The sequence below is a fragment of the Homo sapiens genome, chromosome 11 (genome assembly GCF_000001405.40).
Source record: "Homo sapiens chromosome 11, GRCh38.p14 Primary Assembly".
Taxonomy (NCBI): domain Eukaryota; kingdom Metazoa; phylum Chordata; class Mammalia; order Primates; family Hominidae; genus Homo; species Homo sapiens.
The window spans coordinates 64,783,904-64,803,387 of record NC_000011.10 but is presented as its reverse complement, the minus strand read 5'-3'; the positions used below and the strand labels follow the sequence as shown (position 1 = coordinate 64,803,387).

Sequence of the window (19,484 nt, the reverse complement as noted above, 5' to 3'; positions counted from 1 at the left end):
GCGGCGGAAGGACGTAGGCTCCGCCCCGGCCTTGGGGCTTCCCCGCGCCGCCGAGGGCCCGTCCCGCGGGCGCCTCCTCCCGGACTGGCGGTGGGGCATCCCCGGCGCGGCCCCGCCCCCGGGCCTCAGCCCCGCCCCCGCGGCCTCAGAGCCACGGGCGCCCGCCCCGCCCCGCGCCGCCCCGCGCCGGCTCCGCAGCTCGCGCCCGCCCGCCTGCCGGCCCGCCCGGCGCCGGGCCATGGCGCTGCTGCGGGATGTGTCGCTGCAGGACCCGCGGGACCGCTTCGAGCTGCTGCAGCGCGTGGGGGCCGGGACCTATGGCGACGTCTACAAGGTGCGACGGGACGGGCGGGAGAGCCGGGAGGAGGGTGCCAGCCCCGCACCCCGCGGCAGGATCTAGCCCCCGGCCCCGCCCCCCATCCCGCTTCACCCTCCGCCCCTGCAGGCCCGCGACACGGTCACGTCCGAACTGGCCGCCGTGAAGATAGTCAAGCTAGACCCAGGTGAGGGCCCGGGTCGGGCCTCTGCGCCAGAGGAAGGGCAGAGCGCCCGCGGGCGCGGGGTGCGGGCGGAGGGTTGACGTTTCCGAGACCCCTGAGAGGCGTGCCCCGGGAGGTGCTGTCACCTGCACCTGCCTGGCCCGGAGGGAGGCACTCTGTGCCCATTTTGCAGATGGGGGCACTGAGTCAGGGCAACCCCAGCGCGCCTTCCCCATGATGCTTTGTGCTTCCCAGGGGACGACATCAGCTCCCTCCAGCAGGAAATCACCATCCTGCGTGAGTGCCGCCACCCCAATGTGGTGGCCTACATTGGCAGCTACCTCAGGTGAGGCTGCCTTATCCTCCTGGCCCCAGGCAGCCCCCATGTGACCTGCTTTGTGCCCACCCCAGCTCTTTGTCCCTAGGAATGACCGCTTGTGGATCTGCATGGAGTTCTGCGGAGGGGGCTCCCTGCAGGAGATTTACCATGGTGAGGCCAGGGCTCCAGGCCCCAGCAGGCCCCAGCCTTCCCCCACCCCTACCCCACTGGGGTACCAGAGGGGACTCTGGGCCCTGGACTTGGGCTCCTCTCCACTCCTGCCTGGCTGTGTGACCTTGAGAGAAATACTGTCCATCTCTGGGTTCAGTATCCTAGACTAAACTGGGAGGGGACGTGGCCAACACCGCTTTCATTTAACAGTGCCTGCTGCTTTTCCCACACACGGTAGCCTGGGAGGGTGGGCATGACCCCCGGGCCCCCAAGCCAGCCTCTCCCTTTTCCTTTCAGCCACTGGGCCCCTGGAGGAGCGGCAGATTGCCTACGTCTGCCGAGAGGCACTGAAGGTAGCTGGGCCTGTGAGGTGCCCACACCTCTGGTCTCCAGAAGCTGTGGGCCAGGAGCCCAGATGACCAGCAGGGAGGCGGGTGGAGTGCCTCGGGTGGGGCTGGCCCGAGGGGCTGTAGGTCCTGGGGAAAAGGGGCCCCAGCCCTGTTGCCGGAAGCAGTCCATTTCCCTCTTGGCTCAGTCACTTCCTGTTTGGGGAGAGGGGAGGAAGAAGCAGCCTGAGTGGGGGGCCCCAGTCCTGAGAGGGGGTTTGGGGAGGTGGGACAGTGCTGGGTGGCTGCTCTCAGGGACTCCTCTTTGTCGCCAGGGGCTCCACCACCTGCATTCTCAGGGGAAGATCCACAGAGACATCAAGGTAGGCACCTAGCTGGGGGCACTCCTGGGGAGGGAGGAGGAGGCCCTCGGGGGCACCAGATGGGATTGTCTCTCCTCCATTCCCACAGGGAGCCAACCTTCTCCTCACTCTCCAGGGAGATGTCAAACTGGGTCAGTACCCTGGGGACACCATCAGGGTGAGGGCTCTGTGGACCCTCCCCGGCTACCCTGGACTCAAGGGTTGGGTGTCACTGGGCAAGTCACTTTGCCACTTGAGTCTCAGTTTCCCTGCTTAGAAGATGGAACGGTACTCCCTCCCTGCTGGAAAATAGAGGAGGTTGGGTCTGCACGGAGTTGACATGGGACCAGGCACTCCGTCAGGGATAGAGGGTGGTTGACCCCTCTCAGGAGAGGGACCTGGCCTTGCCTAGGGCCTGCGGCAGCTGTGACCAAGCGGGGCCACCTGCCCGTCTGAGCCCTGCCAGGTGCAGCCGAGCCAGAGCCCTGGGCGTGGGAGGGTGAGTGGCAGCCAGAGGGCTGGTGAGAGTGGCTGTTTCTCCCCACAGCTGACTTTGGGGTGTCAGGCGAGCTGACAGCGTCTGTGGCCAAGAGGAGGTCTTTCATTGGGACTCCCTACTGGTGAGGCTGCGCCTGGGGCGGAGGGGTAGGGGCCACAGAGCAGGGCACCCGGCCATCCCATCTGTGACCCCACCTCTAGGATGGCTCCCGAGGTGGCTGCTGTGGAGCGCAAAGGTGGCTACAATGAGCTATGTGACGTCTGGGCCCTGGGCATCACTGCCATTGAGCTGGGCGAGCTGCAGCCCCCTCTGTTCCACCTGCACCCCATGAGGTCAGCCCAACACTTGCCCCTCACCTGACCCTTGATCTGCGGCCTGTGGCCCCTGACCTCGCGCCCTCCACAGGGCCCTGATGCTCATGTCGAAGAGCAGCTTCCAGCCGCCCAAACTGAGAGATAAGACTCGCTGGTAAGGGCCACACCCTGCTGCCGGGACCCCCTTTTCTGTCAGCCCCATAGTGGACAAACAGCCTCTGCCAACTCCCGGGGGGCAACCCCAAGAGCCCTGTCCTTTCTGGGCTACTACAGACCATCTGAGTCAGGGGCCTGGTCCTTCTGTGGGTTGAAGACCCAGCGTGGTCAGGAAAGAAGGGCAGAGGGTTGGTGGAGGAGCCGCTGTGTCGCAAGGCAGCGTTGCTCGGCCAGTGGCCCTTGGCCTCGGCTGGCTCCTTCCTGGGTGGGCCCAGCAGACGCCTCTGGAGGGGTGGTAGGGCAGCTGGCAGGACACCCTGCACGAGGGCTAACCTGGATCTGGCGCTGGGGGGCTCTTGTGCCTTCTAGGACCCAGAATTTCCACCACTTTCTCAAACTGGCCCTGACCAAGAATCCTAAGAAGAGGCCGACAGCAGAGAAGCTCCTGCAGGTGGGAGGCAGGGGGCCGGGAGAGAGGCCCAGTACTCAAAAGCAGGGCCCTGGATCAGGGGCCAACCTGATCACCCCCCTCCCCCACTTTCCAGCACCCGTTCACGACTCAGCAGCTCCCTCGGGCCCTCCTCACACAGCTGCTGGACAAAGCCAGTGACCCTCATCTGGGGACCCCCTCCCCTGAGGACTGTGAGCTGGAGGTAGGTGAGGGGGGCTGGAAAGTGAGTCTTGGGCTGGTCTGCTTAGAAAGAGCCCGAGGGTGATGTTGGTGGAGGTCCTTTAACTGGCACCATTCCAGCTCAGGGAGCTGGCCTCAGCTGAGCCCTCCCATTAGGAGTCTCTGTCATGCTGACTTTTGTTTCCTGTACCACCCCCTTGATAGGTCCCTGCCCTTGAGTCCAAGCTGACCATGACCACGACTGTGCCATTTTCTTGCTTTCTGTGTGATCTTTGGCACTGCTCTGTGTGGGTTCTCTCATCTGTGAAGTGGGGTTCCATTTTATTTTACAGTAGTCCCAGAGGGCTGTCATGAAAGCAAAACGCACTGGTGCGTGTGAAGCTCCTAGAGCAGCCCCGGCATGAGGCGCGTGCCAGGTGTGTCCACACTGTTTCTGTTTTTCCTTAGACCTATGACATGTTTCCAGACACCATTCACTCCCGGGGGCAGCACGGCCCAGCCGAGAGGACCCCCTCGGAGATCCAGTGTGAGTCTGCAGCAGGGGCTGTGTGTGTGCAGATTTTGGGGGGCCTGTGTGCACATGGATTTGGTGTGAGTAGAGGTCCATCCTGAGACTCCAGCTCCTTCACTCTTGTACTCTGGGCCCCCCAGTTCACCAGGTGAAATTTGGCGCCCCACGCAGGAAGGAAACTGACCCACTGAATGAGCCGGTGAGTGGGCAGGCCTTGAGGGGAAGGTGGTGCCCAGAGGTGGGGCAGGGAGGTCGGATGGAGGCCGAGCAGCTCAAATCAAGGGAGATTTGAAGCTGGGTGGCCTCGGGCCTTGGGCCTTAGACTGTCCAAGCAAGCCTGTCCTACCCAGGGACCTGGAGGGTTAGGGGCTCCTTCCTGGGCCAAGTTCTTTTAGGTGGGTGTCTGGAAGGTAGCACAGAGACCATGCCTTTCCCAAAAGGAGGCCGTCATGTGCCTGAGCCCTCACCCTACCCTGCTCAGCCTCGTTTTCCCACCTGTGTGTCCCCAGTGGTCTGACTTTCTGTCTCTGCCCTCATCGGCTCTGTCACTGGTCTCTCCTCACCCCCCAGCCTGTCTCTTCCTCCCTCGCTGTCTGTTGCCCTTTCTTTCACAGTCTTCAGCTCTGCCTCCCACTGTCTGTCTCTCTCATCTTCTGTGTGTTTCCATCTCACCTTTCCCGTCTGTCTGTCTGTCTGTCTTTCCTTTCCTGAATCTCTTGAGCGCCCTCTCACGTTGCATCTGTCTCTGCTTCTTCCCCGGTCTCTACCTTGGTTTCCCCCAGTGGGAGGAAGAGTGGACACTACTGGGAAAGGAAGAGTTGAGTGGGTAAGTGAGGTATGGGGAAGCTGCAGGGGGTGGCAGGGGCGGCAGAAAGGCTGACCTCTGACCGGGCGTGGTGGCTCATGCCTGTAATCCCAGCACTTTAGGAGGCTGAGGTGGGTGGATCACCTGAGGTCAGGAGTTCAAGACCAGCTTTGCCAACATGGTGAAACTCCACCTCTACTTAAAATACAAAAATTAGGCTGGGCGGGTGGCTCATGCCTGTAATCCCAGCACTTTGGGAGGCTAAGGTGGGTGGATCACCTGAGGTCAGGAGTTCGAAACCAGCTTTGCCAACATGGTGAAACCCCATCTCTACTTAAAATACAAAAATTAGGCTGGCTGTGGTGGCTTACGCCTGTAATCCCAGCACTTTGGGAGGCCGAGGTGGGCGGATCCCAAGGTCAGGAGTTTGAGACCAGCCTGGCCAACATGGTGAAAGCCCGTCTCTAGTAAAAATAGAAAAAATTAGCCGGTGTGGTGGCAGGCGCCTGTAATCCCAGCTACTCAGGAGGCTAAGACAGGAGAATCGCTTGAACCCGGGAGGCGGAGGTTGCGGTGAGCTGAGACTGCACCACTGCACTCCAGCCTGGGCAACAGAGCGAGACTCCATCTCAGATAAATAAATAAACAAACAAAAGTTAGCTGGGCATGGTGGCCCACGCCTGTAATCCCAGCTACTAGGGTGGCTGAGGTAGGAGAATCTGGGAGGCAGAGGTTGCAGTGAGCCGATATCTTGCCATTGCACGCCAGCCTGGGTGACAAGAATGAAACTCTGTCTTAAAAAAAAAAAAAAAAGCCCGGGTGTGGCTCATGCCTGTAATCTGAGCACTTTGGGAGGCCGAGGTGGGCGGATCACAAGGGCAGGAGATCGAAACCATCCTGGCTAACACGGTGAAACCCCCTCTGTACTAAAAATACAAAAAATTAGCCGGGTGCGGTGGCGGGCGCCTGTAGTCCCAGCTACTTGGGAGGCTGAGGCAGGAGAATGGCGTGAACTTGGGGGGCGGAGCTTGCAGTGAGCCGCGATTGCGCCACTGCACTCCGGCCTGGGTGACAGAGCGAGACTCCGTCTCAAAAAAAAAAAAAAAAAAAAGGAAAGGTTGACCTCTGACCCCTTTTCCCCACTGCCCAGGAGCCTGCTGCAGTCGGTCCAGGAGGCCCTGGAGGAAAGGTGAGGGATGTGGGCCTGGGGGAGGGGCAAGGGGCAGGTGGCCTTGGTGCCAGTCACACCTCATGCCTCACGCCTCATCTCCCTCCCACAGGAGTCTGACTATTCGGTCAGCCTCAGAATTCCAGGTGCCACACAGAGGGAGGCTGGAGCTGGGATCCAGGCCACTGCAGAGGGTACGATTGGAGTGGGATGTGGTTACAGGGCAACCTGGTAACGGCCGGGCTGGGCCCTGCCCCTCCTACCAGGAGCTGGACTCCCCAGACGATACCATGGGAACCATCAAGCGGGCCCCGTTCCTAGGGCCACTCCCCACTGACCCTCCAGCAGAGGAGCCTCTGTCCAGTCCCCCAGGTGAGTCTCAGGCTTGGGAGGCCAGGAGGCAGCCCCAGGGTGGGGGCTACAGCAGGAAATTACAGCACGCCTGTGCCTGCAGGAACCCTGCCCCCACCTCCTTCAGGCCCCAACAGCTCCCCACTGCTGCCCACGGCCTGGGCCACCATGAAGCAGCGGGAGGATCCTGAGGTAAGAGGGTGCTACAGTGGGGTGGGGAGACGGGCGGCTACAGCTGTCATATCAGCCCTGACTCCTTTCCTCCCTCCCAGAGGTCATCCTGCCACGGGCTCCCCCCAACTCCCAAGGTGCATGTAAGTGTTTGCCCCAAGCCCTGCAGTCCCACAGCCCTGCCACCCACCACCCCTGCACTCCCTCGCCAGCCTCTTGCCTCCTCTGCAGATGGGCGCCTGCTTCTCCAAGGTCTTCAATGGCTGCCCCCTGCGGATCCACGCTGCTGTCACCTGGATTCACCCTGTTACTCGGGGTAGGTGGGGGCAGGGAGGAAGCGGGAGCCCAAGGAATCCCTCAGCTTGGGCCAGGGGCCATGTCTGACCTCTGACCCCATGCCCAAACTGGCAGACCAGTTCCTGGTGGTAGGGGCCGAGGAAGGCATCTACACACTCAACCTGCATGAACTGCATGAGGATACGCTGGAGAAGGTGAGGCCCGGCTGGCTGTGGGGGGCAGAGGCCTTGTGGGGGCCTGGGGTGCTGACCATCTGTCCCTCTGTGGCCTCCAGCTGATTTCACATCGCTGCTCCTGGCTCTACTGCGTGAACAACGTGCTGCTGTCACTCTCAGGTACAAGGTGGGATGGGCAGGGAGGCAGGGTCCGCAGGGGCTCCAGCGCCTCAGCATCCTGCCCACCAACACCCCAGGCCTGGCCTCTTCCTGTTTCTGCAGGGAAATCCACGCACATCTGGGCCCATGACCTCCCAGGCCTGTTTGAGCAGCGGAGGCTACAGCAACAGGTTCCCCTCTCCATCCCCACCAACCGCCTCACCCAGCGCATCATCCCCAGGTCAGGGATCTTGGGCGTGCAGGGAGCGGGAGGCAGAGGGGCAGGGAGGGGCTGGAACATGGCCTTGCCAGTTCCTGGGATTGCAGCAATCTTAGACGTGTTGTCTCTCTGAGCGCCCGTTTCCTCCTCTGTCAATACAATTGATGGCCTTCCCACCCCCTCCCGCCGGCTTGTTGGGAGGCAAGAAGGAGACAGTGGATGTGAAAGTGCTTTCCAAGTTGTAGGAGCTGTGGTTGTTCGGATGTGGGGCTTGACAGTTAAGCAAACGTTTACTGAGCACTTATGCTATGTTGGCCCCTATGCTGGGCTTCGGGACATGGAGAATCCCATGAGTCCTCGCTTTCAAGAAATGGGGGAGATGGGCAAGTCCTTGCTTTCAAGGATTCCCATGAGTCCTTGCTTTCAAGGATTCCCATGAGTCCTTGCTTTCAAGAAACAGCGGGGCTGGGTGTGGTGGTTCATGCCTGTAATCCCAATCCTGTAATCCGAGGCAGAAGGATTGTGTGAGGCCATGTGTTTGAAATCAGCCTGAAAACACAGGGAGACCTTGTCTCTACAAAAAATCAAAAAAGTCTGGGCGGGGGGGCTCACGCCTGTAATCCCAGCACTTTGGGAGGCCAAGGCGGATGGATCACGAGGTCAGGAGATGGAGACTATCCTGGCTAACATAGTGAAACCCCGTCTGTACTAAAAATACAAAAAAAATTAGCCGGGCGTGGTGGCACATGCCTGTAGTCCCAGCTACTCGGGAGGCTGAGACAGGAGAATCGCTTGAACCTGAGAGGCAGAGGTTGCAGTGAGCCGGGATCACGCCACTGCACTCCAGCCTGGCCGACAGCAAGAGTCTGTCTCAAAAAAGAAAGAAAAAAAGCCCAAAAAATCAAAAAATGGGGCCAGGCGCAGTGGCTCAGGCCTATAATCCTAGCACTTTGAGAGGCCGAGGTGGGCGGATCATGAGGTCAGGAGTTTACGACCAGCCTGGCTAATATGGTGAAACCCCGTCTCTACTGAAAATACAAAAATTAGCTGGGTGTAGTGGTGCGCACCTGTAGTCCCAGCTACTCGGGAGGCTGAGGCAGAAGAATCACTTGAACCCTAGAGGCAGAGGTTGCAGTGAGTGGAGATTGCACCACTGCACTCCAGCCAGGGCGACAGAGTGAGACTGCATCTCAAAAAAAAAAAAAAAAAAAATCGAAAACTTAGCTGAGCATGGTGATGTAGGCATGGCGTTGTGTGTTGGTGGTCCCAGCCACTCAGGAGGCTGAGGTGGGAGGATTGCTTGAACCCAGGAGGTTGAGGTTGAAGTGAACTGTGATCGCGATCGTACCACTGCATTGAAGCCTGGGCAACAGAGCAAGACCTTGTCTCAAAAAAAAGAAAAAGGGAAATGTGGACAGTTAGCAGCCGGTACTGAGGTCCAGTTAGAGGGAGAGCTGGGAGGTGTGGAGAGGCCTCAGAGACCGGGCAAGCTTGGGAGGTTCGAAAGTGTGTCAGGGTTTCTAGGCAGGTGAGGTAGGGAATGGCACTCCAGGCAGGGGGAAGAGCAAGTATATGTTAGTATGTGTTGGGGCGGAGCAGCCTGGTGAGCTGGGGAGCTGTTAAGAGTTTGCCTGGGGGCCAGGCACAGTGGCTCACGCCTGTAATCCCGCACTTTGGGAGGCTTTGGCGAGTGGATCAACTGAGTCAGGAGTTCGAGACCAGCCTGGTCAACATGGCGAAACCCCGTCCCTAGTAAAAATACAAAAATTAGCCGGGCATGGTGGCGGGCGCCTGTAATCCCAGCTACTCGGGAGGCTGAGGCAGGAGAATAGCTTGAACCTGGGAGGCGGAGGTTGCAATGAGCCGAGATCGCACCATTGCACTCCAGCCTGGGCAACAGAGCAAGACTCCGTCTCAAAAAAAAAAGAAAAACAGAAGAGAAAAACAGTCAGATTCTGATTCTCTTTTGCAAGTTGAGCCAGTAGGATTTCCTGATGAAAGAGAAAGAGGAGTCAAGGATGGCTCCAAGGTTTTTGGCCTGGGTGTCAGGAAGAATGCAGCTGTCATCAGCTGAAGGTGGAGCAGTTTCAGGGGGAGCTGAATTCAATTTTGTTGCATGAACATGCTTATTAGATGTGCAAGTGGGACCTGCGTCAGTCCATGGCTTGGTGGGGCTGGGCTCTGAAGGGAGGGGCCCTGGGCTATGGGCCCCCGACATTGTCATGACCAGGTGGGTGGTGTGGGAAGCAGTGGACTGAGTGCAGAGGGTAGGGGAGGCCAGGCCAGTGGCTGCAACAGCTGGGGAGCTCAGGAGCCCCCTTCCTGCAACGTGCTCACTCCAGGACCACATCTGGAGCCCGGTGGCCTTGGGGCTTCCTGAGCTCAGTCCCCAAGTGAGTCTGCTTTGGCGCAGGACCTACAGGAAACAGGCCCATCAGAGCCCCAACAGGTCACAGGCAGCTTTGAGCTTGTGTTCGGGAAATGGCAGAGGCACAGTGAGCACTTTGAATGCAAAGAACAGAGAACTGGAGTTGTTTGGAGAAAAAACAAATACAAAATATATGCTTTTGTCCCATCCAAAGACCAGATGGGGAGGAGAGTGGGAGGAATGTGGGGAGAGGGAGGGACGAGGACCAGGGACAGTGAGAGACAGACATTGGCTTCCTCCATGTCCTGGCAGAAGGTACAAACAGGACATGGGCCACTGGGTGGAGGTGGCAGGGCTGCTGACAGGAAGCCCCATTCCCCAGAGGAAGAAACAGGCTGAGAGGGTCCCCTGGAGGGTTAGGGGACACTCAGTGGCCAAGGCAACGGCCCCTCTGATAACTTTTCCTCACTACTTCTACCCCGACAGCAAGGCAAGCCACCCCCTGGCCCCACAGGGCTGTTGCCTCTGCTGGAGAAGCAGAGGGCAGGCCATTTGCCTTTTGAAGTTCATTCACTGCCCCGGGCCTGTTTTCCCATCTGTGAAATGGGCCGTGTGCAGTCTGTGCAACCTGGTGGGGCTGGAGCCTGCATCCTCCCCAGCCCCTCCATGCTCTCATTTCTTCATTCCTTTTTTCTTTTTCTTTTTTTTTGAGACCGAGTTTCACTCTCATTGCCCGGGCTGGAGTCCGATGGCACAATCTCGGCTCACTGCAACCTCCGCCTCCTGGGTTCAAGCAATTCTCCTGCCTCAGCCTCCCAAGTAGCTGGGATTACAGGCACGCGCCACCACGCCTGGCTAATTTTGTATTTTTAGTAGAGACAGGGTTTCTCTATGTTGGTCAGGCTGGTCTCGAACTCCCGACCTCGGGTGATCTGCCTACCTCGACCTCCCAGAGTGCTGGGATTACAGGCGTGAGCCGTTGCACCTGGCATCATTTCTTTCTTTATACCCTGCCTTTACCTGACAAGGACTTTCAGTGACTCAAAATAGGTGGAAAGTCCTAATATGGGATGATAGGAGCTGGCCCTCTGTGAGCACACACGATTCCCAGCACTGCCGAGAGCACCTCCCCTGTATTAACTCATGAAGCCTTCACTGTGACTCTCTGGGGTGGGGCCCGCCATTATCCCCAATCTACAGATGACGAAACTGAGGCATGGAGAGATTAAGTGGCTTGCCTGGAGTCACACAGAGCTAGAAGCAATCCTGAGACCCAAACCCCTGGCCTGGATGGAGACACTCCCTCCTGGCTTCAGGGCTGGGAGACTGGCTTCAGATCCTCCACCTTTCCCAGCTGTTCTTGGGGCAAGTTACTCTGTGTCTCTGAGTCTCAGTCCCTTACTTGTAAAGAGGGAAGCTGATAGTGCCCACCTCATAGGGCTCTGCAGGGGCCTTGCCCATGGATGGCATCCCAGACACAGGCCCTGGTTATCACCCCTACAGGCGCTTTGCTCTGTCCACCAAGATTCCTGACACCAAAGGCTGCTTGCAGTGTCGTGTGGGTAAGAAATGGGCTGGGCGGGGTGGGGCGGGGCCTGGTGGGGGGCAGCGCAGGCCCAGCCCGGTGCCCACTGCCTGCTCCCCTGCCAGTGCGGAACCCCTACACGGGTGCCACCTTCCTGCTGGCCGCCCTGCCCACCAGCCTGCTCCTGCTGCAGTGGTATGAGCCGCTGCAGAAGTTTCTGCTGCTGAAGGTGAGGGGCGGTGGGGGGAGGCCCAGGGCACCCTCAGAGCTCTGGGGGGAGAAATGGAGACCTGAGCATCCCTGCTGCCCCCTAGAACTTCTCCAGCCCTCTGCCCAGCCCAGCTGGGATGCTGGAGCCGCTGGTGCTGGATGGGAAGGAGCTGCCGCAGGTGTGTGTTGGGGCCGAGGGGCCTGAGGGGCCCGGCTGCCGCGTCCTGTTCCATGTCCTGCCCCTGGAGGCTGGCCTGACGCCCGACATCCTCATCCCACCTGGTGAGCAGAAGGGCCAGGCTGCTGGGGGTGGGTGTGTGTGCATGAGAGACCGAGGGAGGGAGGCAGGGAGGGCCAAGGCTCCCAAACTAGGCTCCCCACAGCCAGTGGCTCCACAGAGACCTTGAGGGCTGCCATGTGGGGTCTGGGGCCCACAGCCTCCCTTCAACAAGCTTCACCTGGGCTTCCATAAAAGGGTTCATTAGACGGAAGGGCTTGGCAGCTAAGAAAATCCTGGCCAGGCCGGGCACAGTGGCTCACGCCTGTAATCCCAGCATTTTGGGAGGCCAAGGAGAGAGAGGGGCTTGAGCTCATGAGTTTGAGACCAGCCTGGACAACATGGCGAGACCCTGACTCTACAAAAAATTAGCTGGGCATGTTGATGCACGTGTGTAGTCCCAGCTACTTGGGCTGAGGTGGGAGGATCACTTGAGCCTGGGAGACAGAGGCAGTTGTGAGCCATGTTCGCGCCACTGCACTCCAGCCTGGGTGACAGAGTGAGACCCTATCTCAAAACAAAAAACAAAAACAAAAACAAAAACTGGTCAACATTGCTCCGGGCTGCAGGGAAGAGGCAGATCTGGCAAGGCAGGGCCTAGAGGCCCCATTCTCAGCCAGGAAGCAGGACTCCAGGTGTTGTGGCAGCTTGGGGTGATAATGAGCAGTGATGGGTAAGGGAGAAAGGAGGGCGCACGTAGTTAAGGCACCTGGTGCCAGGCCCTGAGCCAGGGGTCTCACACACAGGATTTTATTCTTTATTTATTTTTTTATTTTTTGAGACAGAGTCTTGCTCTGTTGCCCAGGCTGGAGTGCAATGGCACGATCTCGGCTCACTGCAACCTCTGCCTCGTGGGTTCAAGCTATTCTCTTGCCTCAGCCTCCCGAGTAGCTGGGATTACAAGCATGTGCCACCACGTCCGGCTACGTTTTGTATTATTAGTAGAAATGGGGTTTCGCCATGTTGGCCAGGCTGGTCTCCAACACCTGATCTCAGGTGATCCACCCGCTTCGGCCTCCCACAGTGCTGGGATTACAGGTGTGAGCCACTGCGCCCAGCCCAGGATTTTATTCCTGATCCTCATGATAGCCTCTCAAGGCAGTGCCATCTTGTCTGTGTTATGAGGAAACAGAGGCTCCGAGAGGTAAAGTGATTTGTACCAGGTCACACAGTGACTGGGTCACGAGGCCTGGTCCCCTTAAACCTGGAGCCCTCCCGTGGCTCCCCGTGACTCCTCCTCCACTCCCCATGAGCCCTAGGACGGGTCACTCATCCTCTCAGAGCCTCAGTTCCCAGCCCTGGAGGGAGATGAGGTTTCCCAGCCCCACAGGGCTGTTGTGAGGCTGACGTGCCCTCATGGCCAAGGGCTGTCTGTAGCCTGGCCCCCGTATCCTCTTGGGGTTGGGGGACTGGTGGCTCAGCCAGGCCATGTCTCTCTTCTCTGCCTGCAGAGGGGATCCCAGGCTCGGCCCAGCAGGTGATCCAGGTGGACAGGGACACAATCCTAGTCAGCTTTGAACGTGAGTGCCCTGGGGGCAGGGCTTAGGGCAGGGGACTATGGAGGTAAGGCGACCACGTGGGTCTGCCTTCCCAGAAGGGAGCCTCCCCGTCCCCACTCACCAATTCCTTCCCTGTGCAGGCTGTGTGAGGATTGTCAACATGCAGGGCGAGCCCACGGCCACACTGGCACCTGAGCTGACCTTTGATTTCCCCATCGAGACTGTGGGTGAGTGAGCCAGAGGTGGGGTGCAGGCCTTTCCCTGGCCTGGAGCACGTTGTTGCTCAGGGGCCTGGGGCTGGCGGTAGGATGAGGAGGCAGATCCCCTAGCCCCTCTCCTGAGCCATCCTGGTCACCTGAGGTCAGTGAGGACCCCTGTGGCCCAGACCCAGGCTCAGGCGTGGCTGAGGGGGTGCCAAGATGGGTGCAGGGCTGATGGTGGCCTGGCCCCCATAGTGTGCCTGCAGGACAGTGTGCTGGCCTTCTGGAGCCATGGGATGCAAGGCCGAAGCCTGGATACCAATGAGGTGAGTGGGGCCCAGGGACCTTGCTGTCCCCTGCCTTGTGGTCCCTACCTCTTTGGAAAGGACCTACTGGAGTGGCCTCAGTGCTTCCCACCTGTCTTCCCAGGTGACCCAGGAGATCACAGATGAAACAAGGATCTTCCGAGTGCTTGGGGCCCACAGGTAGGCGGTGGTACCCTAGCCTCCCCTTCAGATGCCCCTGAGGCCAGAGAAGGGGCTGATGTACCAAGTGTCTCCCGCCCTGCCCCCTACTCCTCTCTCCTCCAGAGACATCATCCTGGAGAGCATTCCCACTGACAACCCAGAGGCGCACAGCAACCTCTACATCCTCACGGGCCACCAGAGCACCTACTAAGAGCAGCGGGCCTGTCCAGGGGCTCCCCGCCCCACCCCACGCCTTAGCTGCAGGCCCTTTTGGGCAAAGGGGCCCATCCTAGACCAGAGGAGCCCAGGCCCTGGCCCTGCTGGGGCTGAAGGTCAGAAGTAATCCTGAGAAATGTTTCAGGCCTGGGGAGGGAGGGGAGCCCCCGACGCCTCTGCAATAACTGGACCAGGGGGAGCTGCTGTCACTCCCCCATCCCCGAGGCAGCCCAGTCCCTAGTGCCCAAGGCAGGGACCCTGGGCCTGGGCCATCCATTCCATTTTGTTCCACATTTCCTTTCTACTCTTTCTGCCAAGAGCCTGCCCCTGCATTTGTCCTGGGAAACACGGTATTTAAGAGAGAACTATATTGGTATTAAAGCTGGTTTGTTTTAGTCCTCTGGTCCCTCTGGGTAGGGGGAGTGAACCCACCTCATCTCCCGCCTCCTTCCCTCCAACACACGTTTCTGTGGGCACCACAGAAGGGCAGGGCCCCCAGGGTTTTGGAGAAGCCAGGTAGAGGTGACAGGAGGCCATGGCCCCCAGCAGCCTTCTAGGGGCACTGTGCCTTCCCCTGCATCCTTGCTCAGAACTGACCCTCAGCTTTGCAGTTTGAGGGCTCTGCTGTAGTTTAGCACCCCAAGGACTCATGCAGATGGGGGGACCTCAACAAAGGGACTCTCATCCAGGGCACCCTTGCCCCACGTAGGATCTCACTGGGTGACCCCTGGAAGGGCCCAGGAGGAGCCCCCAGAGGGCTGTTCCCTCCATTCCCATGGAGGCTGCTGCCCATGGAGGTAGCCTGTGTGACCTGTATCCCCTGCCTCCACCTACTGCCTAGGTGTTAGACCAGGAACATCAGATGACAGCACGATCATCAGATTGGATGGGAAGGCTAGCCTGTGTCCGTCTACCAGACTCCCAAGGGCTGCCTCAGTGCCAGGCCCTGGGGTCACTACCAGAAACAGACCAGCCCCCAGGGAGGGCGTCCTCCTTGCTGGAGCCTGCATCTTGAGGGCATGGCCATTCTCCTGTAGCTTGTGCTTACGCTGTCATTCTCCAAGGGTCTGTCTGCTCAGCTCTGAATGCCAGGGCCCCCAGGGCTGGGCATCCTCTTTTGCCCCAGGCACTGATCAGCCGCTCTTGACTGGAGCCTTTGGGCAGCTGCAGCCCAGGAGGCAGGATGGGAACTGCCTTGAGGGCCCACAGCTGGGGGGCTGGGAAGGTGGGGGCAGGGTGGGGGGAACAGCTGGAGCAAAGGCCCCATGGTCACCCCTACATTCAAGGCAGGTGTTGGAGGAAGACCTTTGCACCTGGTGGGTGGCAATAAAGACTTGCGGAGTGACGTGGTAGGTGGATGGCAGCCATGCGAGTAGGCTCAGTGGTTCCCAGGGTGTCACACTGTCCCCTCAGCCACCCTCCAGCAGAGTTTCAACTGTTCTGACTCTGTCCAGTGACTGGGAGGGTTTCTTGGCTGGAATGGGGAGCCAGCCCAGGGGAGGGAACACATCTCTTCACACCAGGCATTCACACCCATGTTCCCGTGAGCCCCAAGGAGGGTGAGGGGCACCTTCCAAATTGGGGTCGGTGGTAACAGGGATACAAAGTGAATTCCTAACTTCCAATTTTCCAGATTTCTCGGAGGAATGTTGGGACCAGGGTGGGGTAAGTGGGGACAGGGAGGTGAGCTCCTGCTCAGCAAAGGCCCTGACCAAAGGCGCCCTGGGGAGGACTGGCTTTCCGTTCACCAACCGGCCAGCAGCAGACAGTGCCTCCTTGTGGCGGATCTTCCCGGACCTCAGATTCAGTCTGGAAACGGGGTTTGGACTGCAGAGTGTAAACTGCCAAAGTGGGGGCCTCCCATAAAACGCTTGCTGCCAGCAAAGGCAGGCCAAGAGCAAAGAAAGGCCGAGAAACCAGGGAATATGCACTGAGAGACTAACACTTTAAATTTTATTTATGTATTTTTAAATGCGTAACCTTTGCCCATGGTACATATTTTTTTAAATACAGCAGAGATATAATGAAGTCTCCCTCTTACCCCGTCCCCAGCCACCCTGGTCTCAGTTACTTATGAACCCTTCTAGAAGTATTTTGCGTATTTAAGCAATTTGGTATATTTTATTCTTGGCGATTTTTTATATACGTATTAACATATTCCACATACTGTACTGACCTTGCCCTTTAAAAATATATCCTGGGGGGCCAGGTGTGGTGGCTCACACCTGTAATCCAAGCACTTTGGGAGGCCGAGGCGGGCGAATCACGAGGTCAGGGGTTCGAGACCAGCCTGGCCAACATGGTGAAACCCCGTCTCTACTAAAAATACAAAAAATTAGCTGGGCATGGTGGCGAGTGCCTGTAATCCCAGCTACTCGGGAGGCTGAGGCAGGAGAATCGCTTGAACCTGGGAGGCGGAGGTTGCAGTGAGCCTAGAACATGCCACTGCACTCCAGCCTGGGCGACAGTGCAAGACTCCGTCTCAAAAAAAAAAAAAAGAGAAAAAAATATATATATATCCTGGAGAATATGAATGTATTAAATTATCACATGCACCCTGAAAAGATATGTATATATCCTGGAGAGTTTTGCGTTAAAGATCTCCCTTTAAAAAAAAATTTTTTTTTTTTTACAGCTAGTGGTATTCCATTGTGTATGTTTCCCATAACAAATGTTAATGACCTGCAGTGAGATCCCTATTGGTGGAAATTTGAGTTGTTTTTACTACTTTTATATTACAAACAATGCTGCAATAAATATTATTAGGCTAGTGCCCCTCTGTACATATTCAAGCACTTCTAGAAGATAAGTTCCTGGAAGCAGCATTAATGAGTTAGCGGTGGCTACATATGCCGTGGTGATAGCTGCTGTCCAGTTGCCCCTCCATGGGCAGAAACCTGTGGGAGGGTCAGACCAGACTCTTTAAGTCATTCTTGAGGACAAGTAGAAGGGACGTGGGCCCCCCCAGGATGTTCAGGTAACTGGCCCATACCCGGAGTCATCCTGGTGAAAGTCAAGGGGAGCACCATGATGTGTGCTTCGGGACGGCGGAGGATCTGCCGTGTTCCCTGTGGCATGTCCAGCACCTGCTCACTACCAGTGCTCAGGAGACCCTCACGAGTAAGGGAATGGACAAGATGTGGTGAAGAGGAGTCCCTGCAATCTGCCCTTGGACTGGGTGAGCCACCCCAGCTCGCTGAGCTTTACTTTCCTTAGGTTTACCATATCCAAAGCCAACTGCAGGGCTGTCAGGAGGATCAGAAATACTGTAACAGACATAATGCAATAACATAGATGACTCTTAGAGGTAAATTAAAACAGCACTTTATGCACAGTACGATAGCATATTATAAAGCTCAAAAACAAAATGAAACCATCTATTGTTTAGCAATACATGCCCAAGATACAACCCTATTAAAAAATCATGGGAAGGAAAAGCACAAAATCTGAGATGGTCGTCCCTGAGAGGAGTGTGGGATGGGATAAGGAAGGAGCCCAGGAATTTTTAAAGGTATTGGTAATATCTTAGCTCTCAGGTTTGGTGGTAGGTTCATGGGTATTTAAGTTATAACTCAGTTCCTAACTCACATAAGGTGCCACACATCCTTTTGTATGTATCAAATATTATGTCATAAAATTTTAGTTTGGGCATGGTGGTTCATGTCTGTAATCCCAGCACTTTGGGAAACTGAGGCAGGCAGATCACTTGAACCCAGGAGTTCTAGACCAGCCTGGGCAACATGACAAAACCCTGTCTCTACAAAAGATACACAAATTAGCTGGACATGGTGGCACTCGCCTGCAGTCCCAGCTACTCTGGAGGCTAAGGTGGGAGGATTGCTTGAGCCTAGGAGTTCAAGGCTGCAGTGAGCTATGAACTTGCCACTGCACTCCAGCCTGGGTGACAGAGTGAGAACCTGTCTCAAAAAGAAAAAAAAAAAAAGGAAAAAAATTTTTAAAAAATATTTAAAAGTAATCACCGAAAAAATAGAACTCGCTTGAAAGACAAGACCAAAAACGAAGAGGACGTTTCCCTAGATGGTGAAAACAAGTGGGGCGGAATCACTGCAGCGTCCTGCACAGAACTCTGGAATTGCCACTTTGCAGTTGCTGCCTTCTAGTGTGTATTGTTGAAAGACAGTTTTATTGAGGCATAATTGGCATACAATAAGCTGCATATAAAAATGTGTACGTGATGACTTTTGACATACGTGTACACCCGTGAAGCTATTTCCACAATCAAGATAATCACCATCCCCTTCACTCTGGAAAGTTTCCCATGCCCTTGGTAAGCCCACCCTCCTGCTTCTTGCCTCCCATCCCCAAGTAACAACTGTGCTGCTTTCTGTCACTACAGGTTAATCTGCACTTTCTAGAATGTATGTAAATAGAATCACACAGTATGTACTTGTGTTTTGTCTGGCTTCTTGCTTAGCTGAGCATAAGGATTTGCGAGTCATCCCTGTTGCATGCATTAATATTTTATTCCTTTTTATTGCCAAGTAGTATTCCATTGTTTGGATGCACCAGTTTGGTTAGCTGTTCACCTGTTGATGGACATTTGGACCATGTTCCGTTGTGAACTATTACAAATAAAGCTGCTATAAACATTCATGTACCTGTCTTTGTTGGATATATTCTATCATTTCTTGTGGGTAAATAGTTTGGAGTGGAAGGGCTGACTCACAGTTAAGTGTCGTTTAATTTTTTTTTTTTTTTTTGAGACGGAGTCTCACTCTGTCACCTAGGCTGGAGTGCAGTGGCCTGATCTTGGCTCACTACAACCTCCGCCTTCCTGGGTTCAAGTGATTTTCCTGCCTCAGCCGCCTGAGTAGCTGGGATTACAGGCATGCCTGGCTAATTTTTGTATTTTGAGTAGAGATGGGGTTTTGCCATGTTGGGCAGACTGGTCTTGAACTCCTGACCTCAGGTGATCTGCCTGCCTCGGCCTCCCAAAGTGCTGGGATTACAGGTGTGAGCCACTGCGCCCGGCCGCATCTTTTTCTGTTTTTCTTTTTCTTTTGAGATTGGAGTCTTGCTCTGTTGCCCTGACTGGAGTGCAGTGATGCGATCTCGGCTCACTGCAACCTCTGCCTCACGGGTTCAGGTGATTCTCCTGCCTCAGCCTCCTGAGTAGCTAGGACTTCAGGTGTGCACCAGTACACCCGGCTAATTTTTGTCTTTTTAGTAGAGATGGGGTTTCTCCATGTTGGACAGGCTGGTTTTGAACTCCTGGTCTCAAGTGATCTGCCTGCCTTGGCCTCCAAAAGTGTTGCGATTACAGGTGTGAAATACTGTGCCCAGCCTTTTTTTGTTTTTTGAGATGGGTTCTCATTCTGTCACCCAGGCTGGAGTGCAGTGGTGTCACCTCCACTCACTGCCACCCCTGCCTCTGGGGCTCAAGCCATCCTCCCACCTCAGTCCTCATGAGTAGCTGAGACTACAGGCTCACACTACCATACCCAACTAATTTTTTATTTTTTGTAGAGACAGAGGTCTACCCATGTTGCCCAGGCTGGTCTTGAATTCCTGGCCTTGAGTGATCCCACTTCAGCCTTCTGAGTAGTTGGGATTATAGATGTGAGCCACCTCAATGTATTTTTTATTTTTTATTTTTTGAGACGGAGT

The 19,484-nt window shown here is 56.5% G+C and overlaps 1 protein-coding gene across 2 annotated transcripts, besides 8 other annotated features; it reads left to right on the top strand.

The window, feature by feature from the left end:
* Window positions 35-214: a silencer, noted in NCBI's record as "silent region_3491". NCBI's record gives its function as "represses an Ori minimal core promoter by ATAC-STARR-seq in GM12878 lymphoblastoid cells {active_cell/tissue: GM12878}" and the evidence as "EXISTENCE:reporter gene assay evidence [ECO:0000049][PMID:35858748]".
* Window positions 174-18,470, top strand: MAP4K2 (mitogen-activated protein kinase kinase kinase kinase 2). Of its 2 annotated transcripts, none has more exons than NM_001307990.2 (32): window positions 174-334; window positions 446-503; window positions 735-825; window positions 905-969; window positions 1,267-1,322; window positions 1,631-1,678; window positions 1,767-1,809; window positions 2,205-2,277; window positions 2,357-2,488; window positions 2,562-2,624; window positions 2,996-3,077; window positions 3,172-3,279; window positions 3,705-3,783; window positions 3,909-3,967; window positions 4,551-4,594; window positions 5,724-5,762; window positions 5,854-5,887; window positions 6,008-6,113; window positions 6,220-6,284; window positions 6,365-6,406; window positions 6,495-6,579; window positions 6,675-6,754; window positions 6,835-6,895; window positions 6,998-7,115; window positions 10,966-11,024; window positions 11,113-11,216; window positions 11,302-11,479; window positions 12,926-12,994; window positions 13,114-13,200; window positions 13,429-13,499; window positions 13,603-13,658; window positions 13,764-18,470. In NM_001307990.2, exons 1-32 carry the CDS (start codon window positions 239-241, stop codon window positions 13,849-13,851), a joined length of 2,439 nt encoding a protein of 812 aa, NP_001294919.1. In that variant the 5' UTR covers window positions 174-238; the 3' UTR covers window positions 13,852-18,470. The 2 variants fall into 2 exon arrangements, with proteins under 2 accessions (NP_001294919.1, NP_004570.2); NM_004579.5 differs by having other exon boundaries at window positions 6,196-6,284.
* Window positions 365-544: a silencer, noted in NCBI's record as "silent region_3490". NCBI's record gives its function as "represses an Ori minimal core promoter by ATAC-STARR-seq in GM12878 lymphoblastoid cells {active_cell/tissue: GM12878}" and the evidence as "EXISTENCE:reporter gene assay evidence [ECO:0000049][PMID:35858748]".
* Window positions 2,055-2,104: an enhancer, noted in NCBI's record as "active region_4917". NCBI's record gives its function as "activates an Ori minimal core promoter by ATAC-STARR-seq in GM12878 lymphoblastoid cells {active_cell/tissue: GM12878}" and the evidence as "EXISTENCE:reporter gene assay evidence [ECO:0000049][PMID:35858748]".
* Window positions 2,195-2,244: an enhancer, noted in NCBI's record as "active region_4916". NCBI's record gives its function as "activates an Ori minimal core promoter by ATAC-STARR-seq in GM12878 lymphoblastoid cells {active_cell/tissue: GM12878}" and the evidence as "EXISTENCE:reporter gene assay evidence [ECO:0000049][PMID:35858748]".
* Window positions 3,317-3,611: a silencer, noted in NCBI's record as "tiled region #2965; K562 Repressive non-DNase unmatched - State 14:Gen5'". NCBI's record gives its function as "represses a minimal TATA promoter and a strong SV40 promoter by Sharpr-MPRA in K562 cells {active_cell/tissue: K562}" and the evidence as "EXISTENCE:reporter gene assay evidence [ECO:0000049][PMID:27701403]".
* Window positions 5,264-5,464: a silencer, noted in NCBI's record as "peak1298 fragment used in MPRA reporter construct". NCBI's record gives its function as "represses an SCP1 promoter by STARR-seq MPRAs in K562 erythroleukemia cells {active_cell/tissue: K562}" and the evidence as "EXISTENCE:reporter gene assay evidence [ECO:0000049][PMID:32103011]".
* Window positions 6,937-7,231: a silencer, noted in NCBI's record as "tiled region #11124; K562 Repressive non-DNase unmatched - State 7:EnhWF". NCBI's record gives its function as "represses a minimal TATA promoter and a strong SV40 promoter by Sharpr-MPRA in K562 cells {active_cell/tissue: K562}" and the evidence as "EXISTENCE:reporter gene assay evidence [ECO:0000049][PMID:27701403]".
* Window positions 12,878-13,379: an enhancer, noted in NCBI's record as "H3K4me1 hESC enhancer chr11:64557481-64557982 (GRCh37/hg19 assembly coordinates)". NCBI's record gives its function as "activates a minimal SCP1, AML or CMV promoter by ChIP-STARR-seq in naive H9 embryonic stem cells {active_cell/tissue: H9 hESC(naive)}" and the evidence as "EXISTENCE:reporter gene assay evidence [ECO:0000049][PMID:30033119]".